This window comes from Homo sapiens, chromosome 19, assembly GCF_000001405.40.
Source record: "Homo sapiens chromosome 19, GRCh38.p14 Primary Assembly".
Classification (NCBI taxonomy): domain Eukaryota; kingdom Metazoa; phylum Chordata; class Mammalia; order Primates; family Hominidae; genus Homo; species Homo sapiens.
This window is the reverse complement of record NC_000019.10, coordinates 48,346,196-48,363,213: the sequence shown is the minus strand read 5'-3', so window position 1 is coordinate 48,363,213 and position 17,018 is coordinate 48,346,196. Positions and strand designations below refer to the sequence as shown.

The 17,018-nt window shown below is 49.5% G+C and overlaps 1 protein-coding gene across 5 annotated transcripts in view; it reads left to right on the top strand.

Annotated features, from left to right (window-relative positions):
* The window catches only part of TMEM143 (transmembrane protein 143), a 31,585-nt gene that overhangs the window by 727 nt on the left and 13,840 nt on the right, over positions 1-17,018 (top strand). For 2 of the 5 annotated variants that reach the window (NM_001303539.2, NM_018273.4), the window contains exon 3: positions 3,038-3,142. The exons of the other annotated variants lie outside the window; for them this stretch is intronic. In NM_001303539.2, coding sequence (NP_001290468.1) covers positions 3,038-3,142 — 105 coding nt within the window. The remainder of the gene's footprint in view (positions 1-3,037; positions 3,143-17,018) is intronic. 5 annotated transcript variants of the gene reach the window in all.

The following is a 17,018-nucleotide window of genomic DNA, read 5'->3' as shown; positions in this document are numbered from 1 at the left end:
GCAGAGAGCTGCCCTGGCGCCTCCTGGGAGTTGTAGTTCCCGGGTCCCTTCGTGTTTCCCTAGTGGGCGGGAGATGAGCTGGAATGCAGGAGCCAGGTCTCCGAGATGCAGACGCAGCATCCATTCCCAACTCTGGCTTGTTCTGAGGGCTTGAACAGGCACTCTCTGGGGCATGGTTTTTCCCTCTTTAAGATGGGTATAGTAATCATCCTCATCATTACTATTTCTACTACCTGATAATAATTGTACCTATAAAGTCACAACGCTGTAATCATAATTATTATCACACAATTTGAGCTCTGACTCCATGGCACTGTGCCAGACATTTTTCATGTATTGTTGAATCATCAGTAAGAGAGATACCACCATCATCCCCATTTTACAGATGAGATAATGGAAGCATAGGGAAGGAAAGTGACTTACCCAAGGCCACAACATAGTGGCTTAGATTTGAACCAAAGTGGTCTGACTCCAGAGCTGGCCCAGGACTAGGGTTAGGCAAGTAGGGCACTCGCTTGACCCTAAGAGTGAGTGCCCCGTTAAATTTTGCACCCTTGGGTGCCATATTCACCTCATCCTAGTCTTGGTCTCACTCTAGAACCTGAGGTCTTATTGCCACCATCATCATCATTGTCATTATTGAGGATTTTGAGGATTATTATTCATTTATTTTTCTTTATTTATTTTTGTGAGACAGGGTCTCACTCTGTTGCCCAGACTGGAGTGCAGTGGCACAATCTCAGCTCACTGCAACCTCTGCCTCCTAGACTCAAGTGATCCTCCTTCCTCAGCCCCCGAGAGGCTGGGACTCTTGCCTGGCTAATTTTTGTATTTTTAGTAGAGACAGGGTATTGCCATGTTGGCCAGGCTGGTCTCGAACTCCTGGCCTCAAGTGATCTGCCCATCTTGGCTTCCCAAAGTGCTGAGATTACAGGTATGAGCCACCACACCTCACCATCATTCATTAATTTAACATTTATTTACTGAACACCTACTGTATGTACTCAATTCTGTGCTGGACTTGATACACACACAAATACACACACACAAATACACACAAGTATATGCATACAAGTACACACACAAATACACAAATATGTGTACACAAATACACAAATATACACATACAAATGCACACACACAAATACACGCACACACAAATATATGCACACAAAAGTACACAAATATACACACATAAATATACAAATATATGCACATATATGTAAACACATGTGTATATAGGACATGTGTAATCTCATCAAATTCTCACCGTAGCCCTCCAAGAAAGAGCGTGTAATCCTCTGTTGCCAGTGAGGAAACTGAGGCTCAGAGAAGTGAAGACAATTACCCAGGACATTGACATAGGAAACATAAAGAAGTGGTTCAAGGCCGGGCGCGGTGGCTCACGCCTGTAATCCCAGCACTTTGGGAGGCCGAGGCGGGCAGATCACGAGGTCAGGAGATTGAGACCATCCTGGCTAACACGATGAAACCGTCTCTACTAAAAATACAAAAAATTAGCCGGGCGAGGTGGCAGGCTCCTGTAGTCCCAGCTACTTGGGAGGTGAGGCAGGAGAATGGTGTGAACCCGGGAAGCGGAGCTTGCAGTGAGCCGAGATCGTGCCACTGCACTCCAGTCTGGGCAACAGAGCAAGACTCCATCTCAAAAAAAAAAAAAGAAGAAGAAGTGGTTCAAGGCCAGGCATGGTGGCTCACGCCAGTAATCCCAGCACTTTGGGAAGTCGATGCAGGTGGATCACCTGAGGTCATGAGTTTGAGACCAGCCTGGCCAACATGGTGAAACCCCGTCTCTATTAAAAGTACAAAAATTAGCTAGGCGTGGTGGCAGGCGCCTATAATCCCAGTTACTTAGAAGGCTGAGGCAGAATTGCTTGAACCGTGGAGGAAGAGGTCGCAGTGAGCTGAGATCATGGCCGCTGCACTCCAGCCTTGGCAACAGAGTGAGACTCCTTCTCAAAAAAAAAAAAAAAGGAAATGGTTCAATGTGTACCCTGGAGTCAGACAGGCCTAGATAGCAGTCATTTCCCACAGACACTGCAGCCCTTACCAAATGACTTTTCCAGAGCCTCAGTTTCTCCCACTGACAAATGGGAGTTATAATTCCATCAACCTTGGGGGTATGGTGGCTCAGCCTCCCAGCACTTTGGGAGGCTGAGGTGGGAGGATTGCTGGAGCACAGGAGTTCAGACCAGCCTGGGCAATATAGTGAGACTCCACCTTTACAAAAAATTGAAAAAAATTCGCCAGGCATGGTGGTGGGCACCTGTAGTCTTAGCTACTCAGGAGGCTGAGGTGGGAGGATCGCTTCATCCCAGGAGGTTGAAGATGCAGTGAGCTGAGATTGCACAACTGAGCTCCAGCCTGGGTGACAGAACGAGACTCTGTCTCAACATAATAATAATAATAATTCCATCTACTTCTGGAGGATGATATTACACTGTCAAACCGTTCCTGGAATTGTGTGTGTGTGTATTGGCTAGGAAATGTCAAAGCAAAAACTTGAACCTCCAGCTTTTTAAGCCCAGTATAGTTTTTCACTATATTTGGCTGCCTCAGTTTCAGTAAAATTGGTCAGCCCCCACCCAACCAAAACAAAACTTTTTTTTTTTTTTTTTTTGAGACAGAGTCTTGATGTTGTCTAGTCTGGAGGGCAGTGGCACGATCTCGACTCACTGCAGCCTCCGCCTCCCTGGTTCAAGCAATTCTCCAGCTTCAGCCTCCTGAGTAGCTGGGACTACAGGTGCATGCCATCACGCCCGGCTAATTTTTGTATTTTTAGTAGAGACAGGATTTCACCATGTTGGCCACGCTGGTCTTGAACTCCTGACTTCAAGTGATCCACTGCCTCGGCCTCCCAAAGTGCTGGGATTACAGGTGCGAGACACTGCGCCCAGCCCCAGAACAAAACTTCAAAGTCCAGAGCTCTGATTGTGTAGTTAGGCAGCCAGGGAAAGAATTCTTTCCCTCGGGGAAGGGGAAAAGGCCTACAGAGAAGTTTTGCTTCCTGAGGTAACAGGAATTCCACTCGAGTCCGGCAGAGAAGGCGGCTTTGGAGGCGTTCTCGGCCCACGTGGACTTCTGCACCCTGTTCCACTACCACCAAATCCTGGCCCGGCTGCAGGTGAGGACGGGGCCCTTCCAGCCCTGTGGTGCTTGTTCGAGCATCCGCTCATTTAGCAAACATTCCCTGACACCTTCTTGGAGCCTGGCCCTTATTTTAAGTGCTGGGGATTCAATAGTGAACATGACAGGTGAAGTGACGCCCTCATGGAGCCAACATTCCAAGTGGGGAGACAAGGAATCAAATAAATATAAAATATGATGCCTGGTGGTGATAAGTGCCATGAACAATGAGGCGGAGTAGTGAGATAAAGAGGGATGAGATGGGTCGGGCGCGGTGGCTCACGCCTGTAATCCCAGCACTTTGGGAGGCTGAGGCGGGTGGATCACAAGGTCAGGAGATCGAGACCATCCTGGCTAACACGGTGAAACCTCGTCTCTACTAAAAATACAAAAAAATTAGCTGGGCGTGGTGGGGGGCGACTGTAGTTCCAGCTACTCGGGAGGCTGAGGCAGGAGAATGGCATGAACCCGGGAGGCGGAGCTTGCAGTGAGCCAAGATTGCGCCACTGCACTCCAGCCTGGGCGACTGAGGAAACTCTGTCTCAAAAAAAAAAAAAAAACAAAGAGGGGTGAGATGGGGCCTGTTTCAGACGGGGTGGGTGGGGAAGGGCTCCCCAAGGAGGTGACATGTGGGCTAAAGGCTTAGTGAAGAGGGGGAACGAGCCTGATGAATGCCTGGGGGAGGATGTTCTTGGCAGATGGAAGAGCAAGTGCAAAGGCCCTGAGGTGAGTGGAGGCCTGGAGTATTGAACAGTGAGGAGGCCACTGTGGCTGCAGGAGAGTGAATGTGCGGGGAGGGTGGGATATGAGGGCAGAGGGGATGGGGACAGATCGTACTGGGCCTTGTGGGCCACTGTGAGGACCTTGCTTTGTTTTTTTGTTTGTTTGTTTTTGTTTCTCAGATGGAGTTTTTGTTCTGTTGCCCAGGCTGGAGTGCAGTGGTGCGATCTCAGCTCACAGCAAACCTCCGCCTCCCCAGTTCAAGCGATTCTCCTCCCTCAGCCTCCTGAGTAGCTGGGACCACAGGCGTCCACGACCTCCCCCTGCTAATTTTTGTACTTTTTGTAGAGACTGGGTTTCACCATGTTGGCCAGGGTGGTCTTGAATTCCTGACCTCAAGTGATCCACCCGCCTTGGCCTCCCAAAGTGTTGGGATTACAGGCGTGAGCCACTGTGCCAGGCCGAGGACCTTGCTTTGACTCTGAGTGAGCCGGGAGCCATGGGAGGGCTCTGAGCTGAGGAGAGATGTGAGCAGCGGATTTAGGTGTTAACAGGATTTCTCTGGCTGCAGTGTAGGGAACAGACTATCAGAGGCAGGGACATCTATGAAAGAGTCTATTATATTTGTCTAGGGGAGAGATAATGGAAGCTCCGACAAGGGTAATAGCGATGGAAATGGTGAAAAACGGTCAGATGCTGGTTATGTTGGAAGGCATCAGCGTTTTGCTGATGTGCTGGCTGTGGGGGTGTTCTGGGGAGGAAGAGAGAGGAGTAGGGGTGCGTCTCCAGCAGTTCTGGCCTGAGCCTCCTGGAGGATGGAGCTGCCATTTACTGGGATGGGGGAGACCGTGGTGGGATGGGGAGAAAGATCTGCAGGGAGGACTGAGAGCTCAGTTTTGGACTTAAGAATTTGAGCTACCATTTATTTATGAATTTATTTATTCTAATATATTTTTTTTTTTTTCTGAGACAGAGTCTCACTCTGCTGCCCAGGCTAGAGTGCAATGGTGCGATCTTGGCTCACTGCAACCTCTGTCTTCCGGGTTGAAGTGATTCTTGTGCCTCAGTCCCCCGAATAGCCAGGATTACAGGCGTGTGTCAGTACGCCTGGCTAATTTTTGTATTTTTAGTAGAGATGGGGTTTCACCATGTTGCTCAGGCTGGTCTTAAACTCCCGACCTCGTGATCTACCTGCCTTGGCCTCCCAAAGTGTTGGGATTACAGACGTGAGCCACCGTGCCTGGCCCATTCTTTTTTAATTAAAACATTTTTTATTTCAGTAGTTTTTGGGGTACATGTGCTTTTTGGTTACATGGATGAATTCTGTAGTGGTGCATTCTGAGATTTTGGTGTGCCCATCACTAGAGCAGTGTACACTATACCCAATATGTAGTCCCTCACCCCCATCCCAACCCCCCTCCCTGAGTCCCCAAATTCCATTATATCACTCTGTGTATCTTCGCACCCTCATAGCTTACTTAGCTTCCACTTATAAAGTGAGAATACGGCTATTTGGTTTTCCATTCCTGAGTTACTTGACTTAGAATAATGGCCTTCCAACTCCATCCAATTACTGCAAGAGACATTATTTTGTTCCTTTTTATGGCTGAGTAGTATTCCATGGTGTATATAGACCATATTTTCTTTATCCATTGAGCTGCCTTTTAGAAAGGCAGGTAGAAAGATGGACTTGAGGCCGGGCGTGGTGGCTCATGCCTGTAATCCCAGCACTTTGGGAGGACAAGGCAGGCGGAGCATGAGGTCAGGAGATCGAGACCATCCTGTCTAACACGGTGAAACCCTGTCTCTACTAAAAATACAAAAAAAAATTAGCCGGGCGTGGTGGCGGGCGCCTGTAGTCCCAGCTACTCGGGAGGCTGAGGCAGGAGAATGACGTGAACCCGGGAGGCGGAGCTTGCAGTGAGCCAAGATTGCGCCACCGCACTCCAGCTGGGCGATAGAGTGAGACTCCGTCTCAGAAAAAAAAAAAAAAAAAAAAAGAAAGATAGACTTGAATATGTGGATCTGGAGGTGAAGGGAGAGGTCTGGGCTGAGAAACTGCTGTGGGAGGATCTATTAATAGATGGTAGTACTGCCGGGCGCGGTGACTCACGCCTGTAATCCTAGCACTTTGGGTGGCCAAAGCAGGTGGATCAGCTGAAGTCAGGAGTTCGAGACCAGCCTTGCCAGCATGACGAAACCCTGTCTCTACTGCAAATACAGAAATTACCAGCCTGACCAACATGATGAATCCCCGTCTCTACTAAAAATACAAAAATTAGCCAGGTGTGGTGGCATGTGCCTGTCATCCCAGCTACTCAGGAGGCTGAGGCAGGAGAATCGCTTGAACCCAGGTGGCGGAGCTTGCAGTGAACCGAGATCGCGCCACTGCACTCCAGCCTGGGTGACAGAGTGAGACTCCATCTCAAAAAAAAAAAAAAAAAAAAAAAAAAAAAGGCCAGGTGCTGTGGCTCACGCCTGTAATCCCAGCACTTTGGGAGGCCGAGGCGGGCGGATCACCTGAGGTCAGGAGTTCGAGACCAGCCTCAACATGGAGAAACCCCGTCTCTACTAAAAATACAAAATTAGCTGGGTGTGATGGTGCATGCCTGTAATCCCAGCTACTCGGGAGGCTGAGGCAGGAGAATTGCTTGAACCTGGGAGGAGGAGGTTGCAGTGAGCCAAGATCGCACCATTGCACTGCAGCCTGGGCAATAAGAGTGAAACTCCATCTCAAAAAAAAAAAAAAAAAATTACCTGGGCCTGGTAGCGCATGTCTATAATCCCAGCTACTTGGGAGGCTGAGGCAGGAGATCGCTTGAACCCAGGAGGCGGAGGTTGCAGTGAGCTGAGATTTTGCCACTGCACTATCCAGCCTGGGTGACAGAGCAAAATTCTGTCTCAAAAAAAAAAAAAAAAAGGAGGGCCGGGCGTGGTGACTCACGCCTGTAATCCCAGCACTTTGGGAGGCCAAGGCTGGCAGATCACGAGGTCAGGAGATCGAGACCATCCCGGCCAACATGGTGAAACCCTGTCTCTACTAAAAGTACAAAAATTAGCTGGGCATAGTGGCGCTGTAATCCCAGTAGCTGTAATCCCAGCTACTCAGGAGGCTGAGGAAGGAGAATCACTTGAACCCAGGAGGCGGAGGTTGCAGTGAGCTGAGATTGTGCCACTGCACTCCAGCCTGGGCAGCAGAGTGAGACTCCATCCCAAAAAAAAAAAAGAAAAAAAAAGGAAAAAGGCACATGGGGCAGAATCCAAGACAGACCAGGCGTGAGCGTCCAGCTGTCCTCTCCCGGTGGAGTCATGGACGGCACTTAATTCTCCCAGCAAGATGTGTGACAACACGCAAGCAGTACTGCCAACCAGGGATGCTCCTGTAAGCCTGGGTGGCCAGGGTTTTTACTGGGGGTCAGTCACATATGCATGGTGGCTGACCTGAGACTCCAGCCCCTCCGAGGTCAAACTGATGCTCAGTGGCTCCAGGCCCTGACCATAGATGACAACATTAACACACAGCATCCAGTGTGGCCCCAGGCCCCAGGTAAACCAAGACACTCTTATCAGTCAGGACATTCCAAGGGCTTAGAGGTTCCCTCCCAGAAGCTGGTCCAGGGCCGGTCCTTTCTTTGGAATGTGCGGGGTTTGGACAACCCAGGCCTGCTGCATTCACCCCTCGCCACATCCCACCACTGCCTTCTGCAGCTCCGCACTTTGCTTTGAATAATAACAACCCCAGCAACAGTGGCCATCACAGCCCCTTGTTGCTGAGCGCTTGCTGTGTCTGGCTTATTGACTCCTTCCTGCAGTGCGGAGAGACAGCCGCCATCAGCCCATTCATACATGGAGAAACTGAATGTCTCAGAGGGCCCGGGTTGTGCCCAGGATCACACAGTTCATAATTGGTGGAGTCGAGATCAAGCCCCCGTCTGCCTGCCTCCAAGCTCTTCCACAGGGCACCTATGGCCTCTGGAGCCACGGTTGTTTTTTTCTTTTTCTATTTTTTTAAAAGTTAAGGCTGGGCTTGGTATGTCTTGTCTGTGATCTGAGCACTTTGGGAGGCCGAGGTAGGCGGATCACTTGAGCCCAGGAGTTCGAGACCAGTCTGGCAAACGGTGAAACTGTCTGTACTAAATATATAAATATCAGTCGGTTGTGGTGGGGGGTGCCCGTAGTCCCAGCTACTCAGGAAGCTGAGGCATGAGAATCACTTGAACCATGAGAATCACTTGAACCCGGGAGGTGGAGGTTGCAGTGAGCCAAGATCACGCCACTGCACTCCAGCCTGGGTGACAGAGCAAGATTCTTAAAAAAAAAAAGTTAAAAAAAGCCTATTTTATTATAGAAATGTATAAATATATAGAAATGTAGAAAGAACATAAGTGAATAAGCATATATCTCCCAGGCAGGAGATTTTAAACAGAGGCAGGGGCAGGGTAGAAGTGGCAGAGGCGGGTGAGGCCCGCTGGGTGACCATTTGCTGATGACTTAAGTCCTTTGAAGATGTGGCCTGGGCAGGGAAAGAAGCAGCATAGCCTCGGTTCAAACAATAGCTTGGTTGTTCACTAGTGGTGCGGGTGACCTTGGCGGGTGACCTCTCTCTGATCTTTTTTCGCTGATTCATTCATTCATTGAGTTCGCTCAGTAAATATTTATTGAGCACCTACTGTGTCTCTGGAATGGCTTGAGGCTCTGGGAGACAGTGGACAGCATGAGAGATGTACCTCACAGGCTCTGTTCTACTGAGGAAGAGACCAGCAACAAGGTACAGAAGTGAAATTTGGCCGGGCACAGTGACTCACGCTTGTTATTCCAGCACTTTGAGAGGCCGAGGTGGGCGGATCACTTAAGGTCAGGAGTTCGAGACCAGCTTGGCCAACATGGTGAAACCCCATCTTTACTGAAAATACAAAAATTAGCTGGGTGTGGTGGCGGGTGCCTATAGTCCCAGCTACTCGGGAGGCTGAGGTAGGAGAATCACTTGCACCCAGGAGGCGGAGGCTGCAGTGAGCTGAGATCGCACCACTGCACTCCAGCCTGGGTGACAGAGCAAGACTATGTCTCAAAAAAAAAAAAAAAAAAGAAAAAGTCTGGGCGCGGTGGCTCACGCCTATAATCCCAGCACTTTGGGAGGCCGAGGCAGGTGGATCACATGAGGTCAGGATTTCGAGACCAATCTGGCCAACATGGTGAAACCCCGACTCTACTAAAAATACAAAAATTAGCTGGGTGTGGTGGCACATGCCTGTGATCCCAGCTACTCCGGAGGCTGAGGCAGGATAATTACTTGAACCCGGGAGGCGGAGGCTGCAGTGAGCCAAGATCGCACCACTGCACTCCAGTCTGGGCAACAGAGTGAGACTATGTCTCAAAAAAAAAAGAAGTGAAATGTATTAAAAGATGTTTCCTTGTGGAGGCCCTGAGAGGGAAGCATCTATGGTGTCTCTCCTGGCTTCCTGTAGCTGCCAGCAACCCTTGGTGCTCCTTGGCTTGTAGATGAGTCACTCCAACCCCTGTCTCCATCTTCCTGTGGCTGCCTTCTCGGTGTCCTATGTGTGTCCTTTTCTGTCTCTTATAAGGACACTCTCATTGGATTTAGGTTCCACCCTAATTTAGTATGATCTCATCTGTATCTTTACCTTAATTCTACCTGCAAAGACCCTATTTCCGAATGAGATCATATTCTGAGGTTCCAAAGGGATGTAAATTTTTAGGGGACAACATTCAACTCATTATACCCAGTAAATTTGAATTTCAGATAAACTATGTGTAATTTTTTAGTACAGTGGAAGTGTGTCCTATGCAATACAGTCATCCAATATTGCATGGGATGTAGTTAAACTAAAAAAATCGTTTGTTGTTGGGCCGGGCATGGTGGCTCACACCTGTAATCCCAGCACTTTAGGAGGCCAAGGCGGGTGGATTGCTTGAGGTCAGGAGTTCGAGACCAGCCTGGCCAACCTGGTGAAAACCCGTCTCTACTAAAATACAAAAAAAAAATTAGCTGGGCATGGTGGCTGGCGCCTGTAATCCCAGCTACTGTGGAGGCTGAGGCAGGAGAATCGCTTGCACCCAGGAGGCAGAGGTTGCAGTGAGCCGAGATCACACCACTGCACTCCAGCCTGGGCAACAGAGTGAGACCCCGTTTAAAAAAAAAAAAAAAGTTTGTCGTTGATCTGAAATTCAGATGTAAGTGGTGTCCTGCACAGTCAGCCCTCCATATCCATGGGTTCTGCATCTGTGAATTCAACCAACTGTGGATAAAAAATATTTGGGAAAAAAATTGCATCAGTAGTGAACATGTACAGACTCTTTTTTTCCCTTGTCATTATTCTCTGAACAATGTAGCATTACAACTATTTACATAATGTTTTCATTGTATTTGGTGTTATAAGTAATCTAGAGAGAGATGATTATTTAAAGTATACGTGGCCAGGCACAGTGGCTTATGCCTGTAACTCTAACACTTTGGGAGGCTGAGGTGGGAGGATCATTTGAGGACAGGAGTTTGAGACCAGCTTGGACAACATAGTAAGGCTCTGTCTCCACAAAATATATATATATTTTTTTCTGAGACAGATTTTTGCTCTGTCGCCCAGGCTGGAGTGCAGTGGTGTGATCTTGGCTCACTGCAACCTCTGCCTCTTGGGTTCAAGTGATTCTCCTGCCTCAGCCTCCTGAGTAGCTGGGACTACAGGTGTGCACCACCATGCCTGGCTAGGTTTTGTATTTTTAGTAGAGACGGGGTTTCACCATATTGGCCGGGCTGGTCTGGAACTCCTGGCCTCAAGTGATCCGCCCGCCTCGGCCTCCCAAGGTGCTGGGATTACAGGTGTGAGCCACCGTGCCCGGCCTCCATAATTTTTTTTTTTTTAATTAACTGTGCGTGGTGGCACACACCTGTGGTCCCAGCTACTTGGGAGGCTGAGGCAGGAGGATCGCTTGAGCCTGGGAGGTTGAAGCTGCAGTAAGTCATGATTGCAGCACTGCATTCCAGCTTGGGGGACAGGGCTAGACCCTGTCTCTAAAAAAATAAAAATAAAGTATATGAGGGGATGTGTAGAGGTTATATGCAGATATGGTGTTTTTTTTTTTTTTTTGAGACAGAGTCTCACTCTGTCACCCAGGCTGGAGGGCAGTGGCTTGATCTCGGCTCACTGCAAGCTCCGCCTCCCGGGTTCACACCATTCTCCTGCCTCAGCCTCCCGAGTAGCTGGGACTACAGGCGCCCACCACCGCGCTCAGCTAATTTTTTGTATTTTTAGTAGAGACAGGGTTTCATCATGTTAGCCAGGATGGTCTTGATCTCCTGAACTCGTGATCCGCCCGCCTCGGCCTCTCAAAATGCTGGGATTACAGGCGTAAACCACCGCGCCCGGCTGCAGACATGTCATTTTATATCAGGGGCTTGAGCATCTGTAGGTTTGGGTATCCATGGGACATCCTGGAACTGATGTCCTATGGATACCAAGGGATGACTGTATTTTTCTTTTTTTCAAAACCTAATAAGGAGAAAAGGAAAGCAAGGGAGGGGGTGTTTTTCAGTTTCAGGTAAGGTGGTCAGGAAGGCCTCACTGAGCAGAGAACATTTGAGCAGAGACCTGAAGGAGAGGGGAGCAAGCCCTATGGAGATGTGAGGGAACTCCACGTGCAAAGGCCCTGGGGCAGCAGTGTGCATGGTGTGTGGAGGAACAGCCAGGAGGCCTGCGGGGCTAGAGCCTGGCGACCCAGGGAAGAGAGAGGAGGTGAGGGCAGAGGGAGGGGGACCTGGGGCCAGATCTTGCAGGGCCCCCCTGGGCGGTGGTGAGGACTTTGCTTTGACTGAGTGGGTCGGTGGCTAAGCAGAGTGTTCTAAGCAAAGACTGGAATTGCTGTAGGTGCAAACTGGCGCCCTCTGGTGGCTGCTTGGGGAACCCACTGGGGATGGGGACGGGGCGGGGAGAACAGCTCCCAGGCCAGGGAGGAGGGTGGCTGAGACCAAGGGTTGAGAAGCAGTTAGATTTTGCATCTGTTTTGAATGTGTTACCATCACGATTTGCCAATGGGTTGGATGTGTGAGAAAGGGAAGACTCCAGGATGACCCCCAGGCTTTGGGCCTGAGCACCTGGAAGGATGGAGTTGCATCTTTTGAGATGGGGACAAGGCTGAGAGGAGCAGGTTTGGGGCATCGTGGGTTTGAGAGGATGCCCTTGCGGAGGTGTTGAGAGGCCCATGGGGCATCTGTATGGAAGTATTGAGTAGACGCCCAGCCGTGTGAATCTGGAGCTCAAGCGAGATATCTGGACTGCAGATGGAAATCTGGGAGTCCTCAGTAGACAGATGGCATGTGACAGCCACAAGGGAATGCTTGATGGTGGAATATGGCAGCAGCAATTGCCACAAAGACCCAATTAAGTCATTCTTTTTTTTTTTTTTTTTTTTTTTTTTGAGATGTAGTCTCACTGTCTCCCAGGCTGGAGTGCAGTGGCACTGTGTTGGCTCACTGCAACCTCCGCCTCCTGAGTACAAGCAATTCTCCTGCCTCAGTCTCCCAAGTAGCTGGGACTACAGGCGCGCACCACCATGCCTGGCTAATTTTTGTATTTTCAGTAGAGACGGGGTTTCACCATGTTGGCCAGGCTGGTCTCGAACTCTTGACCTCAAATGATCCGCCTGCCTCAGCCTCCCAAAGTGCTGGGATTACAGGCGTGAGCCACTGTGCCCGGCACCAATTAAGTCATTCTTTTAGCAGATGTTTGTGCGAGGCCCGGTGCCAGGTGCTGTGTCTTCACTGAGGAGTGAAACTGGGCCTGCATCGTGCGCTCTGGGAGCTGAACGTGGGTGGTGGGGACGGTCATGAATCAGATGCTCTCCCCAGTGATGGTTAAGTTCAGACCATGAGGGCGATGGGCATGGTGCCCTGCAGGGGGATAACAGAGTGAACCTGAACCTTGGTTGCTATACTGGGGTCCATGTGCAAATTAGAAAAAGGTGCCTCTTTCTCTAGCCTGGAACTGTCCGTTATAGTAGCCACGAACTTCATTAAATTTAAATGTAGCCTGGTCGCAGTGGCTCACGCCTGTAATCCCAGCACTTTGGGAGGCCGAGGTGGGTGGATCATGAGGTCAGGAGTTCGAGACCAGCCTGGCCAACATAGTGAAACCCCGTCTCTACTAAAAAAAAGTACAACAAAAAAAAAAATTAGCTGGCATGGTAGCGGGCTCCTGTGATCCCAGCTACTCCGGAGTCTGAGGCAGGAGAATCACTTGAACCCGGGAGGCGGAGGTTGCAGTGAGTCAAGATTGCGCCATTGCACTCCAGCCTGGGTGACAGAGTGAGACTCTGTCTCAAAAAAAAAAAAAAAAAAAAATTAAATGTAGACACTAGCTGTTAAAATTTAACATAACTAAAACAAAATTACAAATTTTGTTTCTCAGCATACTGATCATGTTTCAGGTGCTCAGTAGCCACCTATGGCCAGTGTCGACCTTATTGGATGGTGCAGATCTAGAATATTTCCCTCACTGCAGGGAGTTCTAGTGGATGGTGCTATTCTGTTCCTTTATTTCCATCTGAAGGGTGGCTGTCATGATAAATGGACAGGTCTGCCCTTAGATCTGGTATCTTTGTGCAGTGTACATCCTGCCCAACCACACAGGGTGGCCCTGCTCAGTTTGATGAGTAGAGGAAGGCTGCTGCTTTTTTTTTTTGAGCCAGAGACTCACACACTGACACACTCTGTTGTCCAGGCTGGAGTGCAGTTGGTGCGATCTCAGCTTACTGCAACCTCCACCTCCAGGGTTCAAGTGATTCCCATGCCTCAGCCTCCGGAGTAGCTGGGATTACAGGCGCCCGCCACCATGCCCAACTAATTTTTTGTATTTTTAGTAGCAATGGGGTTTCACCGCGTTGCTCAGGCTGGTCTTGAACTCCTGGCCTTAAGCAGTCCTTCCTGCCTTGTTCTCCCAAGGTGTTGGGATTACAGGCGTGAGCCACTGCCCCTGTCCGAGGCTTTTTGATAGTGATGATGGACCTAGAATATGACAGAGAGTAAGACTTCAATGGTGAAAAGGGAAGGAGGCAGGAAGGGTGTAGAGAGAGTCTTCCAACAGCATGTGCAAAGTCTCTGTGGCTGGAGGAACTAAAACCAATCTGGTTTGTCGTTGTTGTTGTTTTGAAGACAGGGTCTTCTCTGTTGCCCAGGCTGGAGTGCCAAGCTGTGATCATGGCTCACTATAGACTTAATCTCCTGGGTTCAAGCAATCCACCTCCCTCAGCCTCCTGAGTAACTGGTACCACAGGTGTGCACCACCACGCCTGGCTAATTTTTATATATATAAATGTATTTTTTTTTGGTAGAGATGGGATCTTGCTGTGTTGCCCAGGCTGGTTTCAAACTCCTGGGCTCAAGCAATCCTCTTCTCTCGGCCTCCCAAACTACTGGGATTACAGGCATGAGCAATCGCGCCCAGCCAACCTAAAGACAGTCTGGATGGTATGGAGTGACCGAGGGGATTTACGGTCCTGTGAGGCCTTGCAGGCCCTACTAGGAAGTGTGATCCTGATTCCCGAGGGCAGTAGAAGCCTTGGGAGGGTTTTAGCAGGAGATTGACATGGTCAAATGTGTCATTCTGGTTACACCACTTCCTGGCCATGTGACCTCGGGCAATTACTTAACCTCTCTGTGCCTCAGTTTCCACATCTGTAAATGAGGAGTTTCACACTGTGAGAATGTGCGTGTAACATACTTCAATCTGTGCCTGGCACACAGTAAGTGCTATGTAAATGTGCACCATTATCATTGATGATGATTGTTGTTATTTTATTGTTTGACGAGATCTCCCTGGAAGCTGTGTAAAGAACCGATTGGCAGGGGATGGTGTGTGTTACAGGATTTGGGGAGACTATTGAGAAGGCTGTTGGGCTCACCCAGGCAGGATGAAATGGTGGTGGCTGGCATGGACTGGGACCAGGCGGGTGGGGAGGAGAGAGCTGGGTGAAGTGCGGTCTGCTTGAAGGTGGAATCGGCAGGATTTATTGTGACAGGGAAGGGAGCAACAGGGATCACGTGCAATGTCCAGGTTTTTGGCCCAAAGCCCTGGGAGGATGTGAAGTTTCCAGAAGAGAATCTGGCTCACAGTGGACATTTGATCAATGCAGATTTCTTTCTCCAGCTTTCAAACTGCAGCTCAGCCTGGGAATGGAATTTCTCAAGGTCACTCTGTAAGTCCCAGAACTGCTCGACCAGCCTAGGCTGGAGGATGTGGGCACAGCCCTAGGGCTTACTTCAGAGGAGGATTTTCTTGGCTTGACTCTTTCTCTTTTTCTTTTTTTTTTTTTTTGAGACAGGGTCTCGCTCTGTCACCCAGGCTGGAGTGGAGTGGAGTGGCACGATCATGGTTTACTGCAGCCTCAACCTCCTGGGCTCAAGTTATCCTCCAACCTCAACCTCCCAAGTAGCTGGGACCACAGGCATGCACTATTGTGCCTGGCTAATTAAAAAAAAAAAAAAGACCAGATGCGGTGGCTCACACCTGTAATCCCAGCTCGTTGGGAGGCCAAGGCAGGTGGATCACAAGGTCAGGAGTTTGAGACCAGCCTGGCCAATATGGTGAAACCCCGTCTCTACTAAAAATACAAAAAATTAGCCAGGCATGGTGGTGCTCGCTTGTAGTCCCAGCTACTCAGAAGGCTGAGGCAGGAGAATCGCTTGAACCTGGGAGGCAGAGGTTGCAGTAAGCTGGGATCATGCCACTGCACTGCCGCCTGGGCAACAGAGCGAGACTCTGTCTCAAAAAAAAAAAAAAAAAAAAGTTTTGTAGAGACAGGATTTCACCGTGTTGCCAAGGCTGGTCTCAAACTCCTGGATTCAAGTGATCCTCCCACCTTGGCTTCCCAGAGTGTTGGGATTACAGGCGTGAGCCACTGTGCCGGCCTTTGAATCTCTTCTGCATCCCAGTCTCCTTGCTCAGTTGTTTCTGAGGCCCTGGGCTTCCCCATGACCAAACCTTCACTTAGGCCATTCCTCCCACTTGGAGAACCGGCCCTCTCTCCTTCCACTAATTCAGAATCGCACCTGGCCTGAACAAGCTGCTTCATAGGACCCCTGCTCCCAAGAGACACATGGAGGGTTAGGTTTATGATCTGGTTTTATAGAGGGGTGATTTCCTTGGAGGCTGTTGTAGAGTCTGGGACAAGTTATATGTCATCCTGAGACTCAGTCTCTCCGTGAGCAAAATAGGCTAGGCAACTGGAAACTCACGCGACATTCATTCCAAGAGTTTTTTAGGGGGGACGTTTAGGGACATAAGATGAGGCAGGCAGGTTAGATGCCAGTTTGTGAGGGAACTTGAACATCACGGAAAGCTTCTAGATTTTATTCTAAATACAGTGGGAAGCTGTTGGAGGGGTGGATTGTGGGAGCTGTTTACAGCCTCAGTAAGTTCTTCCCAATGGCCATGTGGATACTGGTTGAAAAGTAGCAAGAGTAGGCCAGGTGCGATGGCTCACGCCTGTAATCCCACCACTTTGGGAGACTGAGGTGGGGGGATCGCTTGAGGTCAGGAGTTCGAGACCAGCCTGGCCAACATGGTGAAACCTCATCTCCACTAAAAATACAAAAATTAGCCAGGCGTGGTGGTGGGCACCTGTAGTCCCAGCTACTCGGGAGGCTGAGGCAGGAGAATCACTTAAACCTAGGAGGTGGAGATTGCAGTGAGCTGAGATCATGCCATTGCACTCCACCCTGGGCAACAGAGTGAGACTCTGTCTCAAAAAAATAAATAAATAAAAAGAAAGTAGTAAGAGTAAAAGTTGGGGAACAGAAGCCCTACATAATTGTTTAAGTGAGAGATGAAGGTGGCTTCAGTGAGAAGATAGCAGCAAAGGAGATAGAGAGGAGGGTGGATTCAAGAAGATTCAGGGGTTTAGCAAGTGAACTTGCCAGAGGATTGGATATGGGTGTGATAAGAAAAGAATCTGCTGGGCACAGTGGCTCATGTCTGTAATCTCACTTTGGGAGGCCGAGGTGGTTGCATCACTTGAGGTCAGGAATTCGAGTCCAGCCTGGCCAACATAGTGAAACCCCATCTCCACTAAAAATATAAAAATTAGCTGAATGTGGTGGCATGTGTCTGTAATCCCAGCTACTCAGGAGGCTGAGGCAGGAGAAC